The following is a 22941-nucleotide window of genomic DNA, read 5'->3' as shown; positions in this document are numbered from 1 at the left end:
TGTGGTGGCACATGCCTATAATCCCACCTACTTGTACTTGGGAGGCTGAGGCAGGAGAATCACTTGAACCCGGGAGGTGGAGGTTGCAGTGACCCGAGATCGCGCCATTGCAATCCAGCCTGAGCAAGAAGAGTGAAACTCCATCTCAAAAAAACAAAAAAACAAAAAAAAAAAAACAAAAAAACAAAATGTGGTCCATGGATTGGCAGCAGCATCAGTATTCCTAGGAGCTTGGTTAGAATGCAAACTCTTGGGCCCAAGAATCTCTATCGTTTTTCTTTTTTTTTTTGGAGACAGACTCTTCCTCTGTCACTCAGGCTGATGCACAGTGACGCAATCTTGGCTCACTGTAGCCTCAACCTCCCAAGCTCAAGTGATCCTCCCACCTCAGCCTCTGAGGTAGCTGGGACCACAGATGTGTGCCACCATGCTCACAAAGTCTCACCATATTGCCCAGGCTGGTCTCGAACTCCTGGGCTCAAGTGATCCTTCCGCCTCAACCTTCCAAAGTGCTGCGATTACAGGTGTAAGCCACTGAGCCTGGCTGGAATCTGTGTCATATTCATCTCTCCAGGTGATTATCATATGCTAGAAAATTTTGAGAAACATTACAGTAGAATATGCTTCAGAATGGCTCCACTAAGGGGATGAGGAACTGGAATATTTAGCTACCAAATCCCATCTCTCATTGATTGTAGATTGTCTCTCATAATGTTAACTCTGCTAGCACTTCCAGATAGAGTTACTCAGGTGTTTGAGGTAAGAAGTTCTGGGCCTGTACAAGATCTGTCTACCAAAGTTGAGGTGAACTCTGGGGTAGTTTGAGGGAATATGGATAGGGCACAGTTAAGATCTGAATAAGCCTTAGCCTTCATCAGATTCTCGGGTTTTAAGTCTGTGAGCCCCTCAAAAGTTTTAAGGACTATATTCCTTTAACAAATGTTTATTATGTGCCTTCTGTATACCAGGTACTGTATCAGGCAAAAGCAGTACAAAGACAAATAACTTTCCTGTGACAAAGAGCTTTCACAGTCAACCATAAAATAATTAAATGCCTTCTTGTAGGCCAGGTGTGCTGGCTCACACTCCTAATCCCAGCACTTTGGAAGGCCAACGTGGGCGGGTCACTTGAAGCCAGAAATTCGAGACCAGCCTGGCCAACATGTCGAAACCGTGTCTCTACTAAAAATGCAAAAAAATTAGTCGGGCACAGTGGCACGTGACTGTAATCCCAGCTACTTTGGAGGCTGAGGCAAAAGAATCACTTGAAACTGAGAGGTGGAGGTTGTATTGAGCCGAGATCATGCCACCGAACTCCAGCCTGGGTGTGAGTGAGACCTTGTCTCAAAAAAACAAAAAACAAAAAACAGAAAAAAAACAAAACAAAACAAAAAAATATATATATGTGTGTATATATATATGTGTGTGTGTGTGTGTATATATATATATATATATATGTATATGCCTTCTCTTAAATTTGGAGAAAAAAATGTCTGGAGTCTGCTAGTGAACAGCTTTGAAAACCTGGAAATAATTTTTTCAAGCTCAGAATGTCTAAAATTTTAACTATAATAAAAATCATGATATCAGCTTATTAATTTATAGGGAGCCCAGGTTGGCTGTAAAATTATCTCCTCAGTAGGAAACTCTACTTAGAAGTCAAATTATAATCCTAAATTGCAATGATGGCTTAAAGTGCACACACTTGTACAGGACCCAGAAAGAAATGTGGTCAGGTTTTCAAGGTTTGCCATCCCTTTGCCTAGTTACTATTCTTCTGTTAAAATACCCTTTCTACAAGAATTAGCCAGGTGTAGTGGTAGGTGTCTGCAGTCCCTGCTACTTGGGAGGTGAGGTGGGAGGATCGCTTGAGTGGGAGAGGTGGAAGTTGTAGTGAGCCGAGATCATGGATGACTAGAGAGACCCTGTCTCAAAAAAAATAAAAAACAACAAAAAATCCTTGTGTTTCATACATTTGAATACCACGGTTCACTGAGGCAGTATATTGGCCGCAGAGTTAGCTGTGTGTCCTACTCACAGACATCTTGTTTGGCATCACTGTGTTTTAAAACTCAGGAAAAGTGGCTCTTTTAGATAGGAGTTTGTAGTCTCCAGTGGGTCCTAGTCCCTATGTCAGGTCATCTTTTATTGTTACTTGCCTAGCCTCTGCAGCCATTTGAGTTAGCAATTTCAAGAGTTTCTTTTACATACACCACACACCCATGATACCACCCCCCGGACATCTAGAGAGCTCATTCATTACTCTAGAGTCTAGGACTGCGCTGTCCGATACTCTCGTCACTAGTTGCATGTGGCTCTTGAGCTCTTTAAATGCTCCCAGTCCTTAATGAGATGTGCTCCAAGTATAAACACCAAATTTTGAAAACTTAGTACGAAAGAAAGAATGTAAGTTATCTTGTTAATAACATTGGTTATATGTTGAAATGATATTTTGATCTCTCTCACACTCTTTCTTGAGGCAGAGTCTGGCTCTGTTTGATGGAGTGCAGTGGTGTGATCATAGCTCACTGCAACCTCCACCTCCCAGCTCAAGGGATTCTCCCACTTTATCCTCCCGAGTTGCTGGGACTACAGACGCGTGCCACTATGCCCGGCTCATTTTTTTTTTTTCTTTTTTGAGACGAAGTCTCGCTCTGTCGCCAGGCTGGAGTGCAGTGGTGTGATCTTGGCTCACTGCAGCCTCCAACTCCCTGGTTCAAGCAATTCTCCTGCCTCAGCCTCCCGAGTAGCTGGGATTACAGGCACACGCCACCACGCCCAGCTAATTTTTGTATTTTTAGTAGAGACGGGGTTTCACAATGTTGGTCAGGATGGTCTCGATCTCCTGACCTCGTGATCTGCCCGCCTCGGCCTCTCAAGTGCTGGGATTACAGGCGTGAGCCACAGCGCCCGGCCGACCAATGTTCTTTACATCCACCTTCTGTTCTAGATGCTGTTCAATTAGTCTGCTTTTATAGTTGTCTGAGAGCAGAGAGAAAAAGCCCCACAACTAAGTGCTGAGAGTCACCAAGTAAGGGGGACGTGGCCACAAGGCAGGAAACAAGAAGTCCAAAATTCAAATCACACACCAACGCGGTTCCTTTCTGCATCCAAGGTCAATAAAAAAAAATTTTTTTTTTGGTAACTTCCTATATTGCTGGAGCGAACTGATGGAGCAGGGCACCTGTGGACAAACGTTTTTATGAAGCCAAATACCATTTACAAACCAGGGTGGGGAAAGAACGATGAAAAGTTCTTGATGGAAGGGAATGAGGAGATGGGAAGGTCAGTTTCTGGCTTGCCCTCTGTCTCCAACTACTCCGCCTGGAGAAGGAAAATGCTGGGAAAATGAATCTTCGGCTAAAGACGACGCTGCTCTAAGTTTGAGGCAACTGGGAAAAGAAGGCCATATCCCTAAAGTTATCCCAGTTTAGGGTCTGCCACGCTAAGTTTCCTCAGCCCCGACGGACGCGGTCCCGCCTGCAATCGTTTTCCGACTCCTGGCCAACTCAAGCTTCATCCTCGCCTGCGCCCCACCTCCACGCCTGTCCGGGACACCCGTGAAACGCCTTGAAGCCGCCATTTTAAACAGTGCTATCGCGAGATATACTTCGCTGTTTCCAGCCTGACTCATTTACTTTCTTGCGAGAGTCTCTTCTCGTGTGCTCTCGCCATGGCCAAGGAAAGTGTCGCGAGAGCTGGTTGCCTTGGCTCCCTGTAGCTATAGCAGCCGCGGCGGTTAAGTATGCGGCGCCAGGAGCTGTGAGTGCGACACCCTCAGGGGGGCGGGGCCGGGGGTAACGGGGTGCAGGGGGTAGCGCCTGGGGAGGGGGTGCGGGGAAGGTTAGGTCGCGGGAGGAATGGACCTGAGTGTGACGTGTGGGGCAGGACCTGGGTCCTGTGGGTACAGGGACGCGGCGCCGGTCTGCTCTAGGGCACGCGGGGAGGACTAGAGCTGCTGGGAGGTCCAGGGGGAGGGACCCGGGTGTAATGGGGTTCAGGGGGCGCGGGCTGGAGCGTGGAGGGGTGTGTGTGTTGGGAGCAGGGTGTTTACGGAGACTCGGAACTGGATAAAGGGACCAGGCTACATTGGGAAAGAAGTGGGAAGAAATGGGGTACAGCGACGAGGAGGGTATGTTGAATGAGAGCACAGACGCTGGGCCCAGTTTGCTTTTCACTGGTTAGAGGGGTGGAGGGAGGAGAAGGGATCAGACCTTTACAGATCCCCCGGCTCTGCCTGAGGCTAGTCGGGGACCGCGCGCCGGGACCTGGGTCCTAAATGGCCGTGGCGGGAATGGTGGCGTCCCAGATCGTCGCCGCCTCCTTTCCCTCTTTCCGGAGAGATACCCCACGGACACTCTTGAGATGCGAACGGAGAGTCCTGGTGAACTAGTATTAGTTGGGAAGGTTCTTTTCGCTGAGAAACTACGAGTAGGATAATGAATGATTGCTACTCTAAAATAAAGCGCAGGGTAGGGGGGCGGGAGAGAGCGATTCTTGAGAAGAAAAAAACACTAAGGTTGCTTCCTCTGAAGCGTATTGAGTTGGAAGAAGGGGGTGTGTGCTAAGCTTACGTTTCTTCCCAGACTCATTCAAGTGTACAATTTCTTTACGGTGTGCTTATGAAATACCTGGAAGGTAGTCAGGTTAGATGGTATGGTGAAAAAATGTGCAATACGACACTTAAACCTTCCGCAAATGTAACTTAAAAAACAATTTTTTTTTAATTGCAGCAGCAGGCTGAACACTAAATCTAGGGATAGTTTTAGTTATTTGGATGTAAAACCTGGTGTTCCTAAAGTGTGCTTATCAAGCTATTTGCCTTTTAAGAAATGAATGAGATTTTATTTTAGGAGACAGAACATGTTTTGAATGTCTCAATGTTGAAATAAAAGATGTCTCTCAGGAGTTAAAAATCACAGAGGGGAAAACATCTAGTCTTTGAGTCTTAAGGACTGTTTTCTGGAAACAGGTGTGGACCACTTTGCTGGTTAACTGTTATTTGTAGTGAAAACAATGGCTTCAAGTCAGGCATAAAAATAATTTATTTCAATCGACAGATACAAGTTTTCTGATCATTTTTCTATCTTTTGTAGGTATACATTTGAAAGGGATAACTCTCTTGTGATTATATAACTGGATTTTTTTATGTTGAGGTTCACAAATGCATTAATTAGAATAATGGCTTTTTGGCTGGGCGCGGTGACTCACGCCTGTAATTCCAGCACTTTGGGAGACCGAGGCGGGCAGACTGCTTGAGGTGAGGAGTTCGAGACCAGCCTGGCTAACATGGTGAAACCCCCCCCCCCCGTCTCTACTAAAAAAATATAAAAATTAGCCGGGCCTGGTGGCGCGCGCCTGCAATCCCAGCTACTCGGAAAGCTGAGGCAGGAGAATCGCTTGAACCCCGGAGGGGAAGGTTGCAGTAAGCCGAGATCGCACCATTGCACTCCAGTCTGGGCGACAGAGCGAGACTCCGTCTCAAAAAAAAAAAAAAAAATACATATATATATATATATATATATATATATATATATATGGCTTTTAAAAATCCTTCTTCAGCTGGTCTTAATGTGGTTAGTCACTGAACCCATTTATTTGATATATGTTAGAGTAAAACCTAATTTGTAATGTCAGCAGCTAAACATTAAAGTAGAAGTGCTTTTCTGATGCAAGATAAAGCTTTGTGTGGTGGTTGAGTCCAAAAGATTTCTGCATGAATCCAATAACAAGCTCTACTGAACTCCTGTTATGTGTAAAGTACTGTGTAAGGCATTGCAGTGAAAAAAGATTAATTCATTTAGCCACTTAATATTTATTGAGACCTATTTTGTGTCTGATTGCTAAGCCTTCAGGATACAAATACAGGTAGAACTCGATCTTTGCCTTGGAATTGCTCAGACCCTGTGAGGGCAGACTGATAGAGAAAAAAATACTTACAATGTAATAAGCACAATATATGAACATGAAAGTATGAGACAAGGTTCTGCCCCTGAAGAGTTTATATAGTAGTTGACAGGACAAAGAATTTGTTTGTTTGTTTGTTTTGCAACAGGGTCTCACTGTGTTACTTAGGCTGGAGTGCAGTGGCAAGATCATGGCTCACTGCAACTTCAACCTCCTGGGCTCCAGCCATCCTTGTACCTCTGTCTCCTGAACAGAGCTGAGACTACAGGTGAGGGCCACCATGCCCAGCTGATTTATTTTTAGAGATGGGGTCTTGCTATGTTGCCAGGCTGGTCTCAAACTCCTGGGCTCAAGTGATACTCCTGCCTCAGCCTCCCAAAGTAAGAATTTTCTTTTCTCTTTTTTTGAGACAGGGTTTTGCTCTGTTGCCCAGGCTGGAATGCAGTGGTGTCATCACAGCTCACTGCCACCTCAACCTCCTGGGCCCAAGCTTTCCTCCCACCTCAGCCTCCTGAGTAGATAGGACCACAGGTGCATGCAACCACGCGCAGTTAATTATTAAAATTTTTTTTGTAGAGACGAGGTCTTGCTATGTTGCCTAAGCTGGTCTGGCTATGTTACCCAGCAATCCTCCTGCCTTGGCAGCTTGGCTTCCCAAAGCGCTGGGATTACAGGCTTGAGCCACCATGCCCAGCCTAAGAGTTTTCAAAATTACAAAGTGTTAACCAAACTAAACTGTGCTGCCTTAGTGAAACACATAGTAAGTTTCTCAGAAGAGATAAAAGAATGGAAGTTTGAGGAGAAAATTCACTGGTCAGTTCATAATTTAAGCCCTTTTTTTTTTTTTTCTTTAAAGACGAGTTGTCTGTTGCCCAGGCTGGAGTGCAGTGGAGTAATCACGGCTCACTGCAGCCTCAGTCTCCTGGGTTTAAGGAATCCTCTTGCTTTTCAGCCTCTCCAGGAGCTGGGACTACAGGTGCTTGGCTAATTTTTGTACTTTTTCTAGAGACAGGATCTCCCTATGTTGCCCATGCTGATCTCAAGCACCTGGGCTCAAGTGATCCTCCCACCTCAGCCTCCCAAAATGCTGGGATTATAGGCGTGAGCCACCTCGCTGGTCCTATTAGTCTTTTTTAGTACTCCTTTACTGTAGATGTAAATAAATACGGACCAGGCACGGTAGCTCAGGCCTGTCATCACAGCACTTTGGGAGGCTGAGGTGGGCGGATCAGTTGAGGTCAGGAGTTTGAGATCAGCCTGGCCAACATGGTGAAACCCCATCTCTACTAAAAATACAAAAATTAGCTGGGCATGGTGATGCCTGCCAGTAATTCCAGCCACTCGGGAGGCTGAGGCAGGAGAATCGCTTGAACCCAGGAAGCGGAGGTTACAGTGAACCGAAATCATGCCACTATACTCCAACCTAGGCAACAGGCAAGATTCTGTCTCAAAATAAATAAATAAATAAATAAATAAATAAATAAATAAATATTACAACAGTCTTAAGGCAATAATAATAATAGATAACATTCATTGAGTGATTATTAATGTGCCAGGCACATTATCTCATTTTATCTTATAACAACACTCTGCTCTGCAGCTGGTACTAGTTACTTTAAAGAAAACCAAGGCTTAAAAAGTTCAGGAAGTTACCAAAGATTATTGAGCTAGTAGATGGTAGAATAGAGATTGGTGTGGGAAATTTATGTGATTCTAATATACTAAGAAAGATTTCTTTCTTTTGTAGGGAAGGAGGGAGTCTTGGTATGGAGGAAGTGGGGAGAGGTTGCAGGTGGAACTGGCCAGGACACCAGAATTCTGGGTGGGACTTGGAAGGTATAAATGGATAGGGGTATCTGTTTTTTTACTCATACATTTTCTCCCTCAGATATTTACACTACCTATGGGGAACTAATGTGAATGTTAGCATGGTGCTAAATACAAAATTTGTATTGTTATATAGAGAATTGAGTAAATTACCAAATTTCTGCTGTGTATAATTGTATAGGGAGCTATGCTTGGGAAAATAGTTGTAGCAAGCAATTATATATTTGTAAGCTTCCAGCAAGTGATCATTTTAGTAGTGGAAATGGTTATCTGTATTCATATATAGGGGAAATGTTATTACAACAGACTTTAAGGCATTTAGTCAAACATATTTTCATACAGTAGTTTTTTTTTTTTTTTTTTTTGAGACGGAGTGTCCCTGTGTCGCCCAGGCTGGAGTACAGTGGCGCAATCTTGGCTCACTGCAAGCTCCGCCTCCTGGGTTCATGCCATTCTTCTGCCTCAGCCTCCTGAGTAGCTGGGATTACAGGTGCCCGCCACCATGCCCGGCTATTTTTTGTATTTTTAGTAGAGACAGGGTTTCATTATATTAGCCAGGATGGTCTTGATCTCCTGACCTTGTGATCTTCCCGTCTCGGCCTCCCAACGTGCTGGGATTACAGGCGTGAGCCACTGTGCCCCGCCTTCATACTGTAGTTTTTTTATATTGAGAAAAATGTATGTATGTGTCACATGTTTTTATATATTTGCTTTCAGGTTTTTTTTTTCACTCTATATTCCAAAGTCCAAAGTACGGTTTTCTGGTTGAAATTCAAATTTTACATCTTTGTATTATTTGTTTGTTTTTTGAGACAGAGTCTTGCTCTGTCACCCAGGCCGGAGTGCAGTGGCACAATCTTGGCTCATTGCAACCTCTGCTTACCAGGTTCAAGCGATTCTCCTGCCTCAGCCTCCTGAGTAGCTGGGATTACAGGCACGTGCCACCGAGCTCAGCTAATTTTTGTATTTTTAGTAGAGACGGGGTTTCGCCATGTTGGCCAGGGTGGTCTCCAACTCCTGACCTTGGGCGATCCACCCGCCTCAGCCTCCCAAAGTGCTGGGATTACAGTGGTGAGCCACCGCATCCGACCTGTTTGTTTGAGACAGAGTTTTGCTCTTGGCCTCAGCCTCCGGAGTAGCTGGGATTACAGGTGCCCGCCACCACACCCAGATAATTTTTTGTATTTTTGGTAGAGACAGGGTTTCACCATGTTGGGCAGGCTGGTCTTGAAGTCCTGACCTCAGATGATTGACCCGCTTTGGCCTCCCAAAGTGCTGGGATTACAGGCGTGAGCCACCACTCCCGGCCCCCAAATTTTATATCTTTGTAAATGGCTTCTTTAAAAATCTACGTGAGATTATGTCTGTAATCCCAGCACTTTGGGAGGCTAAGGCAGGAGGATTGCTTGAGGCCAGGAGTTCAAGACCAGCCTGGCCAACAGAGTGAGACCCTATTTCTACTGAGAAAAAAAAAAAAAAAAAGAATCCCCAGAAACCTAAGTGAGAATGATAAATACCATTAATGAAGTATTGATAATCAGTTCTAGACTTACTAGAATGCTTAGCGGTCAACCAGTCCATTCTATTCATTTTATATTGAGGAAACTAAAGCCTAGAGAACTTTCTTTTTTCTTTCTTTCTTTTTTTTTTTTGAGATGGAGTCTCGCTCTGTCGCCCAGGCTAGAGTGCAGTGGCACAATCTCGGCTCACTACAACCTCCGCCTCCCAGGTTCAAGCAATTCTCCTGTCTCAGCCTCCTGAGTAGCTGGGACTACAGGCGCCCGCCACCACGCCCAGCTAATTATTGTATTTTCAGTAGAGACAGAGTTTCACCATATTGGTCAGGCTCGTCTGGAACTCCTGACCTCAAGTGATCTGCCCACCTTGGCCTCCCAAAGTGCTGGGATTACAGGTGTGACCCACTGTGCCCGGCAAGCCTAGAGAACTTTTAAATGACTTACCCAAAGTCACACAGCTGCAATGTCCCAGATGTCCTGGTTTCCAGTTAACTGTTCCTTGTACTCTACCACATTGCCAAGTTATATTTAATAATTACTGTAGAGTTATAGATGCCCTCAGCTAATTTTGGGAAACCAGTTTTGTCAAGAGGCTATTTACTGATAGATGACAGAATACAAACTGATTACTTGTTTACCTTAAACTGTACTTATACTTCCTACTTGTACTAAGGATAAGTAATTCAGGTGTTTTATTTAGGTGCTTCCTATTTTTGGTTTGCTATATTACTGTTTAATTTTTTTGTCTTCAGTTGCACTGCTGGGCCATTTAATAAACGCTTCTCTGATTTAGAAAAAAGTGGAGGAATACAACTGCGTTATAATACATATTAGGCTGGGTGTGGTGGCTCACGCCTATAATCCCAGCAGTTCTCCCTAGAGAACTTTCTTTTTTCTTTCTTTTTTTTTTTTTTTGAGATGGAGTCTCGCTCTGTCGCCCAGGCTAGAGTGGAAGGCTCAAGGTGGGTGGATTGCTTGAGCCCACAAGTTCAAGACCATCCTGGGTATGGCAAAATGTAGAAACCCTGTCTCTACAAAAAAAAGTGAAAAATTTAGCCAGGATTTGGTGGCATGCACCTGTAACCCCAGCTACGTAGGAGGCTGAGGCAAGAGGATCACTTGAGCCTGGGAAGTTGAGGCTGTAGTGAGCCATGATTCCACTACTGCGCTCCAGGCTGAGTAACTAACAGACACTCTGTCTCAAAAAAAAGAAAAAAGAAATACATGCAGTTTTGTTGTTTGTTTTGTTTTGCTTTTTTTGAGACAAGTCTTGCTCCATCGCCCAGGCTGGAATGCAACCTTCACCTCCTGGGTTCAAGTGATTCCCATGCTTCAGCCTCCCGAGTAGCTGGGACTACAGGCACGCCCCACCATACTTAGCTAATTTTTGTATTTTTAGTAGAGACAGGGTTTCACCACGTTGGCTAGGCTGGTCTCGAACTCCTGACCTCAGGTGATCTGCCTGCCTCGGTCTCCCAAAGTGCAGGGATTACAGGTGTAAGCCACCTGCCTGGCCTCTACCAAAAAAATTTTTTTTGAGATGGAGTCTCGCTCTGTTGCCCAGGCTAGAGTGCAGTGGCATAATCTCAGTTCACTGCAACCTGTGCTCCCAGGTTCAAGCAATTCTCCTGCCTCAGCCTCCTGAGTAGCTGAGATTACAGGCACCAGCTACCACGCCCGGCTAATTTTTTTTTTTTTTTTTTTTTGAGATGGAGTCTCGCTCTGTGACCCAGGCTGGAGTGCAGTGGCGCAATCGCAGCTCACTGCAACCTCTGCCTCCTGGGTCAAGCGATTCTCCTTCCTCAGCCTCCCAAGTAGTTGGGATTGCAGGCGTGAGCCCCATGCCCAGCTAATTTTTGTACTTTTAGTAGAGAGGGGGTTTCACCATGTTGGCCAGGCTGGTCTTGAACTCCTGACCTTAGGTGATCCACCCCGCCTCATCCTCCCAAAGTGCTGGGATTACAGGCGTGAGCCCCTGTGCCCGGCCCCAGCTAATTTTTTACCAAAAATTTTAAAAAATTAGCTGGGTCTGGCAGCATGCGCCTATAGTCCTGGCTACTTGGGAGGCTGAGGCAGGAAGATCCCTTGAGCCCAGGTGTTTGAGGTTGCAGTCAGCTAAATCATGCCACTACACTCCAGCCTCAGTCTGACTACACGTCAGAGTGAGAGTGAGACCCTGCTGCTAAAAAGAGAAGACAAGTGATCTCATTTTATTTATTTTTATTTATTAATGTTTTGAGATGGAGTCTTGCTGTGTCACCCAGGCTGGAGTGCAGTGGCGCAATCTCGGTTCACTGCAACCTCCGCCTCCCGGGTTCAAGCAATTTTCCTGCCTCAGCCTCTCGAGTAGCTGGGATTACAGGCACCTGCCACCAAGCTCGGCTAATTTTTGTATTTTTAGTAGAGATGGGGTTTCACCATGTCGGCCAGGCTGGTCTCGAACTCCTGACCTCAGATGATCCGTCAACCTTGCACTCCCAGAATGCTGAGATTACAGGTGTGAACCACTGCCTTATTTTTATTTTTATTTTTATTTTTATTTCTTAAGACAGGGTCTTTGTTGCCTAGGCTGGAGTGCAGTGCAATCACGGCTTACTGCAGCTTTTGCCTCCTGGACTCAAACAATCCTCTCACCTCAGCCTCCCAAGTAGCTGGAACTACAGATGTGCACCACCATGCCCAGCTAATTTTAAAAAAGTTTTTTTCACCCCGCCCTCTCAACAAAGCTTTTCCTGACTCTGCTAGGAACCAGGAAGAGAAAGTCTAATTTTTAATTTTTTTGAAGAGATGAGGTCTCACTATATTGCCCAGGCTGATCTTGAACTCCTGAACTCAAGGAATTTTTCCACCTCAGCCCTCCAAAGTGCTGGGATTACACGTATGAGCCACTGCACCTGGCCAAGTGATCTCATTTTAAATTTCCATTTATTTGAGATGAAGTTGAATATTTTCCATATTTATTATTATTTTTTATTTTTATTATTATTATTTTTAGACAGAGTCTCTCTCTGTTGCCCAGGCTGGAGTGCAATGGCATGATCTCAGCCCACTGCAACCTCCGCCTCCTGGGTTCAAGTGATTCTCCCACCTCAGCCTCCCACGTAACTGGGATTACAGGCATGCGCCACCGCCTGGCTAATTTTTTTTTTTTGAGACAGGGTTTCGCTCTTGTTGCCCAGGCTGCAGTGCAATGGTGCGATCTCAGCTCACCGCAACCTCCACCTCCTGGTTTCAAGCGATTCTCCTGCCTCAGCCACCTGAGTAGCTGGGATTACAGGCATGTGCCACCATGCCCAGCTAATTTTGTATTTTTAGTAGAGACGGGTTTCTCCGTGTTGGTCAGGCTGGTCTCGAACTCCCGACCTTAGGTGATCTGCCCGCCTTGGCCTCCCAAAGTGCTGGGATTACAGGTGTGAGCCACTGTGCCCAGCCTAACATCTTTTTATTTCTTTATTGGCTGTATTTCTTTCAGTGGAATTGCTTATTCTTTGCTTATTTTGTAACTGGGCTTTTTTCTTCTCATTCTACCCCTCCCATCCCATTTTAGTTTTTCTTTTGTATCAAAGCTACATTTATTCTCTGAAAACATTTTTTTAAGTTTTGTTTTGTTTTGTTTTGTTTTTGAGACAGAGTCTCTCTCTGTTGTTAAGGTTGAAGTGCAGTGGTGTGAGCTCAGCTCACTGTAGTCTCCACCTCCCAGGTTTAAATGGTTCTTGTGCCTCAGCCTCCTGAGGAGGCAAGATTACAGGCACCTGCCACCACGCCCAGATAATTTTTGTATTTTTTTTAGAATTTAATTTAATTTTAAGTTCCTGGATACACATGCAGGATGTGCAGGCGTGTTACATAAATGTGTGCCATGGTGGTTTGCTGTACCTATTAACTCATCACCTAGGTATTAAGCCCTGCATACATTAGCTGTTTATCCTGATGCTCTTCCCACCCCCGCACAGGCCCTAGTGTGTGTTGTTCCCCTCCCTGTGTCCATGTGTTTTCATTGTTCAGCTGCCACTTATAAGTGAAAACGTGGCATTTGGTTTTCTGTTCCTGTGTTAGTTTGCTGAGGATACATGAATGGAACTTGATTTTTTTTTTTTTTTTTTTTTTTTTTTGAGATGGAGTCTTGCTGTCGCCTAGGCTGGAGTGCAGTGGCGCAATCTCGGCTCACTGCAGCCTCTGCCTCCTGGGCTCAAGCAGTTCTCCTGCCTCAGCCTCCCAAGTAGCTAGCATTACAGGCACTTGCCACCATCCCTGGCTAATTTTGTATTTTTAGAAGAGACAGGGTTTCACCATGTTCGCCAGGCTAGTCTTGAACTCCTGATCTCAAGTGATCTGCCCACCTCGGCCTCCCAAAGATTACAGGCGTGAGCCACCTTGCCTGGCTTAAGTAATTTCTGTATTTTTAGTAGAGACGAGTTTTGCCATGTTGGCCAGGCTGGTCTTGAACTCCTGGCCTCAAGTAATCCTCTCACCTTGGCCTCCCAAAGTGCTGGGATTACAGGTGTGAGCCACTGTGCTGGGCCTTTTTTTTTTTTTTTTTTTGAGACTGATCTCTTCGTTGCCCAGGCTGGAGTGATTTCGCTCACTACAGCCTCAATTTCCCAAGCTCAGGTGATCGTCCCACCTCAACCTCCCGAGTAGCTGGGACCACAGTGTGAGCCATCATGACCAGCTAATTTTTGTATTTTTTATAGAAAAAGGGTTTTGCTATGTTGCCCAGGCTATTCTAGAATTCCTGACCTCAAGCGATCTGCCTGCCTCAGCTTCGCAGAGTGCTGGGATTACAGGTGTGAGCCACTATGCCCAGCTTTATTTTTAAAAAAATATTTTATTTTTTTGTGGATACATAGTAGGTGTGTATATTTATTGGGTACATGAGATGTTTTGATATGGGCATGCATTGCATAATAATCAAATCATGTAAAATGGGGAATTCATCCTCTCAGCATTCATTATTTGTGTTATAAACAATTATACTTGTAGTTATTTAAAAATGTACAATTAAATTATTGACTGTAATTATCCATTTGTGCTATCAAATATTCCCTCTTACTCATTCTTTCTATTTTTGTTTTTGTTTTTGTTTTTGAGACAAGAGTCTCGCTCTGTTGCCCAGGCTGGAGTGCAGTGGTGTGATCTCGGCTCACTGCAACTTCTGCCTCCCGGGTTCAAGCGATTCTTGTCCCTCAGCCTCCTGAGTATACTCAGTTGGGATTACAGGTGGATGCCACCATGCCTGGCTAATTTTTGTATTTTTTAGTAGAGACAGGGTTTCACCATATTGGCCAGGCTAGTTTTAAAGTCCTGGCCTCAACTGATCTGCTGCCTTGGCCTCCTAAAGTGACGGGATTACAGATGTGAGCCACCACAGATGTGAGCCACCACGCCCAGCCTTTCTATTTGTTTTTGTACCCATTAACTATCCACACCTCTCCCCACTTTTCTCTTTAGACTAATAGGAACTCTCTCTGTGTATCCCTGTATTTTAAACATATATTGCACATATTTTCTACAATCTGTTGCATCATCTGTAGTGTCCGTTGATGTGCTAAAATTTCATATCTGTCTTTTTTCTTAATGGTTTCTGGGTTTTGAGGCTTGCTTAAGTAGGCTCTCTCCATCCCAAAATTATAAAAATATTTTATATTTATCCTAACTCTTTACTAGCTTATTTAACTCTTTAACTGATTTGGAATTTATCTTTATATGTTTTTGGAGGTACTCTTTTTCTCCACAAATATGCAACTGACCCAAGCCTATTTGTTGAATATCGTGTCTTTAATGATATGAAATCTTATCTTCATCATGTTCTCAATTGCCATATATCCACCATTTGTGTATGTATGTATGTACGCCTGTGTTTCCTTTTTTTTTTTTTTTTTTTTTGGAGACGGAGTCTCACTTTTGTTGCCTAGGCTGGAGTGCCGTGGCGTGATCTCGGCTCACTGCAACATCCGCCACTGGGGTTCAAGCGATTCTCTGCCTCAACCTCTGGAGTAGCTGGGACTACAGGTGCATACCACTACGCCTGGCTAATTTACTGTAATTTTAGTAGAGACGGGGTTTCACTATGTTGGCCATGCTGGTCTCGAACTCCTGACCTCAAGTGATCCATCCGCCTTGGCCTCCCAAAGTGCTGGGATTACAGGTACCAGCTATTGCGCCTAGCCTGCATGTGTTTATTTTTGAATATTTCTGTTCTTTTCAGTTGTTTATTCTTGGGCCAGTACCATACAGTTTTTTTGTTTGTTTTTTGAGACAGGTATCACCCAGGCTGGAGTGCAGTGGTGCGATACTGGGTCACTGCAGCTTTGACCTCCCGGGCTCAAATGATCCTTCCACTTTAGCCTCCCCAGTAGCTGTAACTACATGTGTATGGCACCACGTGTGACTAATTTTTGTATTTTTAGTAGAGATGAGGTTTCTCCATGGCCTAGCTGGTCTCGAACTCCTGGCCTCAAGTGACCTGTCCTCCTCGGCCTTCCAAAGTGCTAGGATTACAGGTGTGAGCCACTAAATCCTTTTGCTAACTATAATTTTTTCTTCTGTGTTTTTTTTTTTTCTTTTCAAGACAGAGTCTTGCTCTGTCACCTAGGCTGGAGTGCAGTGGCACAATCTCGGCTCAACTGTAACCTCCGCCTTCTGGGTTCAAGTGATTCTTCCCTCTCAGCCTTCTGAGTAGCTGGGATTACAGGCACGCGCCACCACGCCCAGCTAATTTTTTGTATTTTTAGTAGAGACGGGGTTTCACCATGTTGACCAGGGTGGTCTTAAACTCCTGGCCTCAGGTGGTCGGCCTGCCTCAGCCTCCCAAAGTTTTGGTGTGAGCCACCACGCCCAGCCCTTTTGGGTTTTCAAGATAGTCATATTTCTAACTGTTCACGTCTTTGCCTATCTCTGTTTTGGCATATGCAATTTTTTTCTTATTTTGACGTTTTGAATCTCTTTATAGTAAAAATATTCTTTTTTTTGGTGGGGGTGACAGGGTCTCAAAAAAAAAAATGGTGGTAGGCCGGGTGCGGTGGCTCACGCCTGTAACCCCAGCACTTTGGGAGGGGGAGGCCGAGGCAGGTGGATCACCTGAGGTCCGGAGTTCGAGACCAGCCTGGCCAACATGGTGAAACCCCATCTTGACTAAAAATACAAAAATTAGCTGGGCATGGTGGCATGCACCTGTAGTCCCAGCTACTCCGGATGCTGAGGCAGGATTGCTTGAACCCGGGAGGTGGAGGTTGCAGTGAGCCAAGATCACGCCACTGTACCCCAGCCTACGTAACAGAGTGAGACTCCATCTCCAAAAAAAAAAAAAAAAAAAGAGGCTGGAATGCAGTAGCACGGTCACCACTCACTACAGCCTTGACCTCCTGGGCTTAAGCAATCCTCCCACCTCAGCCTCCTGAGTAGCTGGGACCAGAGGCACGCACCACCATGCTTGGCTAATTTTTTGTGTTTCTTGGAGAGACGGGGCCTCACCATGTTGCCAAGGCTGGTCTCAAACTCTTGAGCTCAAGTGATTCTGCTATCTTGGTCTCCCAAAGTGCTGAGATAACAGGTGTGTGCCACCACGCCCAGCCAAATATATTCTTTTTTTTTTTTTTTTTTTTTTTTGAGACAATGTCTCACTCTGTCTCCCAGGCTGGAGTGCTTTGGCAAGATCTCTGCTCATTGCAACCTCCACCTCGTGGGTTCAAGGATTTTCCTGCGTCAGCTTCCTGAGTAAGTGGGGTACAGGCATGCACCACCACGCTCAGCTTATTTTTGCATTTTTAGTAGAGACTGGGTTTTGCTATGTTGGCCAGGCTAGTCTTGATCTCCTGATCTCAGGTGATGTGCCAGCCTTGGCCTCCCTAAGTGCTGGGATTACAGCCATGAGCCACCTCACCCGGCCATCAAGTATATTCTTTATCATATAGCTGGCAATGTTTTTTCTAGTTTGCTGTTTACTTTTAGGGGAAATCTCTTGACCATCAGTGAGTAAAACACTAGAATAGGCTGTTATAATGCTTGTAATATCTTGACATGAGGAAAATTCTAGGATGGCTGGAATTTGTAAAATCAAGTCTGTTGAATAAATTTATGAATTAAAACAAGGGGGAAAAAGCCTACTTTTGGGTACAAATGTGATTTGACTATAAAATTCTGGTATTCATTTAATGTTTTTTACAGTTATGTGCCATCTGAGTTAGAGGGGTTGCATTTAAAATTGGGGAGAAGCTAGCTCAATAAAATTGATCAGATTAAAAATCCTCAATAGTATATGTAAATAATAACTATCTGATATTTAATTATACATATAGGATAAATTAGGTTTTCTGTCTATCTATTTTATTTTATTTTTGAGACAGGGTCGAACTCTTTCCCAGGTGGGAGTGCAGTGGCGGGATCTCAACTCACTGCAGCTTCAACCTCCCTGGGCTCAGGTGATCCTCCTGCCTCAGCCTCCCGAGTAGCTGGGACTATAGGGGCATACCACCGTGCCTGGCTAGTTTTTTTGTATTTTTCGTAGAGATGAGTTGTCACTGTGTTGTGCAGCCTGGTCTGGAACTCATGAGGTCAAGTGATCTGCCTGCCTCGTCTCCCAAATTGCTGGGATTTACAGGTGTGAGCCACTGCACCTGGCCTATTTTATTTCATTTTTATTACTATTTTTTTGAGATGGAGTCCCGCTCTGTTGCCCAGACGGAGTGCAGTGGCGTGATCTCTACTCACTGCAACCTCCGCCTCCCAGGTTCAAGCGATTCTCCTGCCTCAGCCTCCTGAGTAGCTGGGATTATAGGTGCCTGCCACCATGCCCAACTAATTTTTTTTTTTTTTTTTTTAGTAGAGACGGGGTTTCACCATGTCGACCAGGCTGGTCTCGAACTCCTGATGTCAAGGGATGCACCTGCCTTGGCCTCCCAAAGTGCTGGGATTACAGGTGTGAGCTACTGCGCCCAGCCTATTTTTTATTTATTTATTTTTTCTAGATCTGGGTTCTCACTATGTTGCCCAGGCTGGCCTGGAACTCCTTCACTCAAGCCATCCTCCCACCTTAGCCTTCCAAGTAGCTGAGCTTATAGATAGGAGCTACCATACCTTGTACTTCACTAAGGTTTTTAATTTAGTTTATCAATATTAAAAAATATGGACACATTTTTAATATTTAATGAGAAGTAGTAGAAAAATGGAATTCACTTTAAGGCTCACTTTTCTGTCTTTTTCTCCCAGAGAGTATATTGGTAGAAAAGCTTATCCAAATTTTACTTATTTTAGTTTCAGGGATACTTTCATATAATAAATTTGTGAATTATTTTATTTTTATGGCTTATATCAGGCACATATATGAATATTTGTATATTAAGGAGGTATGATGGTAGAATGTACAAAAATGTTTTTTAAAAAACTCACTGTTGCTTTTCTAGAATTTTTCTTATTTCAGTTTGTCTGTATAAATATTCTCTATAGATAAGTGACTTTTAAGGAAAAGCTGTTATATTCATTACATAGCTTGTTGCAAATAGGAAATCTAGCCCTATTATTGTTGGTATGAAACTAACAAGCTTTTCTGAAAGCCATATTTTAGTGTTTTGGCACTGTGTGGTAGCATTACCTTCCCGTGCCATGTTGAAAGCAAGAAACATGTTCTACAAAGCACATTTTTTTCAAATAGCATTTGAGTTTTTAAATGAAAACAGAAGCTGAGGTAAGGCTATATTGTATTCTTGCAAAATACATTTTTGTTTTATTGTGACCTGTGTGTAGGTTCATTTTTTCTAGGATGTTTGAAAAGTTTCTTTCTTTTTTTTTTCTTTTTCCTGAGACAGAACTGTCTCAGAAAAGTGATAGATGTCAGTTCTTGCTCAGTGGTCCAGGCTGCAGTGCAGTGGTGCGAACTCGGCTCACTGCAACCTCTGCCTCCTGGGTTCAAGCGATTCTCCCACTTCAGCCTCCCAGATAGCTGGGACTACAGGTGTGTGTGCCACCATGTCCGGCTAATTTTTGTAATTTTAGTAGAGTTGGGGTTTCACCATGTTGGCCAGGCTGGTCTCAAACTCCTGACCTCGAGTGATCCGCCCACCTTGGCCTCCCAAAATGCTGGGATTACAGTACAGGTGTGAGCCGCTGTGCCTGGCCAAAAGTTTCTGATATAAAGCTGGCAGGAAGTCAGTGACAATTATTAAGTCTTGGAAGAAAAATTTCTAAGTTTCTCCTGAGAAGAAATTTCTGAAGAAACATCTTGTAGATAATGTAGTTTCACAGTAAAGTTTTTTTATTTTTATTTTTTTAATTTGAGGCAGAGCCTTGTTCTGTCACCCAGGCTGGAGTGCAGTGGTGTGATCTCAGCTCACTGCAGCCTCCGCCTCCCAGGTTCAAGTGATTCTCATGCCTCAGCCTCCCAAGTAGCTGGGATTACGGGCATGTGCCACCACACTTGGCTAATTTTTTTTTTTTTTTTTTGGAGACAGAGTCTTGCTCTATCACCAAGGCTGGAGTGCAGTGGCGTGATTTTGGCTCACTGCAACCTCCGCCTCCCAGGTTTAAGCAGTTCTCCTGCCTCAGCCTCCTGAGTAGCTGGGATTACAGGCGCACGCCACCACACCCAGCTAATTTTTTTTTTTTTTTTTTGTGACGGAATCTCGCTCTGTAGCCAGGCTGGAGTGCAGTGGCATGATCTTGGCTCACTGCAACCTCCGCTTCCCAGGCTCAAGCGCTTCTCCTTCCTCAGCCTCCTGAGTAGCTGGGATTATAGGTGCCTGCCACCATGCCCAGCTAATTTTTGTATTTTTAGTAGAGATGGGGTTTCACCATGTTGGCCAGCATGGTCTCGATCTCCTGACTTCATGAGCCGCCCACCTCTGCCTCCCAAAGTGCTGGGATTACAGGCAGGAGCCACCATGCCCGGCAATTTTTGTATTTTAAGTAAAGACAGGGTTTCACCATGTTGGCCAGGTTGGTCTTGAACTCCTGACCTCAAGTGATTCGCCCACCTCGGCCTCCCAAAGTGCTGGGATTACAGGCGAGAGCCACAGCACCCAGCCTCATGGTAAAGTTTATATAGAAAAATGTATTCTCTGTGGAAACAAAACTTATTTGTGTGCCATTGTTTCATTTCTGACCCGGGCTGAGCTTTTATTTCTCTGTGCAGATCCATTTCCTTTGATGGTACATCCTGTCTTGGATGTTGACCCCAGTCAGAGCTGTATAGTGCCAAAACAAGATAGTTCTTTGGTTCTTTTTTGCCATTTCTTTCAACTCCTTGTTTATCTTTACTCATGGTCATTGAAGATCAGAAGGGTATTTAGGAACAAATGGGAATTCTATGTGTTCCTTCAGTGTTAGGGGAACACCAGGGAGACGCAATATCATTTTAATATTGGGTTTTCACCTTTCCTGATGCCCACTAGGTCTAAGGAAACATCAAGCTTATTTTACAGCTTGATATAAGAAACTTTGTAATTACCAAATTAAGCTTTAGACACCTCAGTGTTTTGGAGTACTTACTGATATCTATAATACATATTCCTAGGGCCTATGCCTTTCCATATAAATTTTACTTATTTTTTGAGACAAAGTCTCACTCTGTCCCCCTGGCTGGAGTGCAGTGCTGTGATCTTGGGATCTTGGCTCACTGCAACCTCCACCTCCCAGGTTCAAGTGATCCTTCCACCTCAGCCTCCTGTGTAGCTGGGACTACAGACACGCGCTAGCATGCCCTGCTAATTTTTTATATTTTTAGTAGAGACTGGGTTTCATCATGTTGGCTAGGCTGGTCTCGAACTCCTGGGCTCAAATGATCTGCCCACCTCGGCCTTCCAAAATGTTGGAATTACAGGCATGAGCCACCAAGCCTGGCCAAATTATTAAATGTTTTTGAACCTCACTTCCCTTATCTGTGAGATTAGGATAATAATAACCTACCTGAGCAAATTAAATGAAGTGATAGATGTCAGTTCTTAGCACAGTAGCCATAATGTTATAGGGACTCTAAATTTCAGTTTTCTTTTTCCCTTCCTTGAGCTGATTTAAGTTTTAAAAGATAGTGATTGTAAAATTACTCGTAAATGTATACAGTTATTTCAAATATTGTTCATGTTTGTGTTAAAAACAGTCAAACTCATTTTGGTTATGTTGGTATAAGAGGGAAACGTAGGGAAATGAGACAATAGAGAAAGTCTGAATAACTGTTTTTTTTTGTTTTTTTTGTTTTTGAGATGGAATCTCGCTCTGTTGCCCAGGCTGGAGTGCGGTGTCATGAACTCGGCTCACTGCAACCTCCGCCTCCCGGGTTCAAGCAATTCTTTTGTCTCATCCCCTGAAGTAGCTGGGACCACAGGCACGCGCTACCATGCCCGGCTAATTTTTGTATTTTTGTTAGGGACAGGGTTTCACCATATTGCCCAGGCTGGTCTTGGACTCCTGACTTCGTGATCCACCCGCCTTGGCCTCCCAAATTGCTGGGATTATAGGCATGAGCCACCGTGCCCGGCCAAATCTGAATAACTTGTTGAGTAATATCGTGTGGCAGGAGCTAGGCTTAACACTTCGCACACTGCAACTCATTTAATCCTTACTACTCAATTAAGCACATTTCTTCCTCTGAAGGATTACTTCTTAGTTTTCTTTTTTTTTTTTTTTTTGAGACGGAGTCTTGCTCTGTCTCCCAGGCTGGGGTGCAGTGGCGTGATCTTGGCTTACTGCAACCTCCGCTTCCCGGGTTCAAGCAATTCTCGTGTCTCAGCCTCTCAAGCAGCTGGAATTACAGTGCATGCCACCATCCCTGGGAAATTTTTTGCGTTTTTAGTAGATACAGGGTTTTACCATGTTGGTCAGGGTGATCTTGAACTCCTGAGCTCAGGCTCTCCATCCTCCTCCGGCTCCCAAAATGTTGGGATTACAGGCGCGAGCCACCGTACCCGGCCTACTTCTTAGTTTTTAAAATTAAAGTTTTCGTATTTCCACCCTTTTGAATAATAAGCCTCAGGAATGGGGCTCTTAATAACTTAATGCAGACTTCAAACTTTGTATAGAATATGACAAATAATTAAAGACTTTTATTTCTAAGCTACCATCCTTTGTATTTGGAGACTATGTTCTTTAGGCTAAGTCTTCTTTCTGTTTATTTTTTTTTTTCTTTTTTTTTTTTTTTTAAGCAAACTCTAGGAATGATTTTGTGGAAACCAGGTCTCACTGTCCTGCAAGATGGAGTGCAATGGCAGGATTATGGCTCACTGCAGCCTCCACCTCCTGGACTCAAGTGATCCTCCTGAGTAGTTGGGACTACAGGTGCATGCCACCACACCTGGCTAATTTTTGTATTTTTTGTAGTGATGGGGTTTCACCATGTTGCCCAGGCTGGTCTCAAACTCCTGGGCTCAAGCTATCCTCCTACCTTGGCCTCCCAAAGTGCTGGGATTACAGGCATGAGCCTCTGTGCCTGGTCAATATTTACTTTCTAATTCCTGCCTCTAGAAATATATTAGCTGCCCTGAACATATTAGGTTTTTCAGTTGTATGAAACTGTTCAGTTAGGTAGTTGGGAGTAATGAATTTGATGCCTATTGGTCCATTTCTTTTTTTTTTTTTTTTTTTGAGATATTGTCTCGCTCTGTCACCCAGGCTGGAGTGCAGTGGCACGATCTTGGCTCACTGCAACCTCCACCTCCCAGGTTCACACCATTCTCCTGCCTCAGCCTCCCAAGTAGCTGAGACT

The 22941-nt window shown here is 44.4% G+C and overlaps 1 protein-coding gene across 15 annotated transcripts in view, besides 2 other annotated features; it reads left to right on the top strand.

Annotated features, from left to right (window-relative positions):
* Positions 3481-3590: an enhancer, noted in NCBI's record as "active region_3565". NCBI's record gives its function as "activates an Ori minimal core promoter by ATAC-STARR-seq in GM12878 lymphoblastoid cells {active_cell/tissue: GM12878}" and the evidence as "EXISTENCE:reporter gene assay evidence [ECO:0000049][PMID:35858748]".
* Positions 3718-22941, top strand: part of USP54 (ubiquitin specific peptidase 54) — a 128444-nt gene continuing 109220 nt past the window's right edge. For 13 of the 15 annotated variants that reach the window (NM_001391951.1, NM_001391942.1, NM_001391947.1 and 10 more), the window contains exon 1: positions 3718-3762. The gene's annotated coding sequence lies outside the window, so the exon portion shown is untranslated. Of the gene's footprint in view, positions 3763-4057; positions 4133-22941 lie in introns of those variants that run through there. The other 2 variants (NM_001391953.1, NM_001391954.1) reach the window with 1 other exon arrangement.
* Positions 3761-4010: a silencer, noted in NCBI's record as "silent region_2486". NCBI's record gives its function as "represses an Ori minimal core promoter by ATAC-STARR-seq in GM12878 lymphoblastoid cells {active_cell/tissue: GM12878}" and the evidence as "EXISTENCE:reporter gene assay evidence [ECO:0000049][PMID:35858748]".

This window comes from Homo sapiens, chromosome 10, assembly GCF_000001405.40.
Source record: "Homo sapiens chromosome 10, GRCh38.p14 Primary Assembly".
Lineage (NCBI taxonomy): Eukaryota > Metazoa > Chordata > Mammalia > Primates > Hominidae > Homo > Homo sapiens.
The sequence above is the reverse complement of the archived record's forward strand: the minus strand, read 5'-3'. Positions and strand labels throughout refer to the sequence as shown.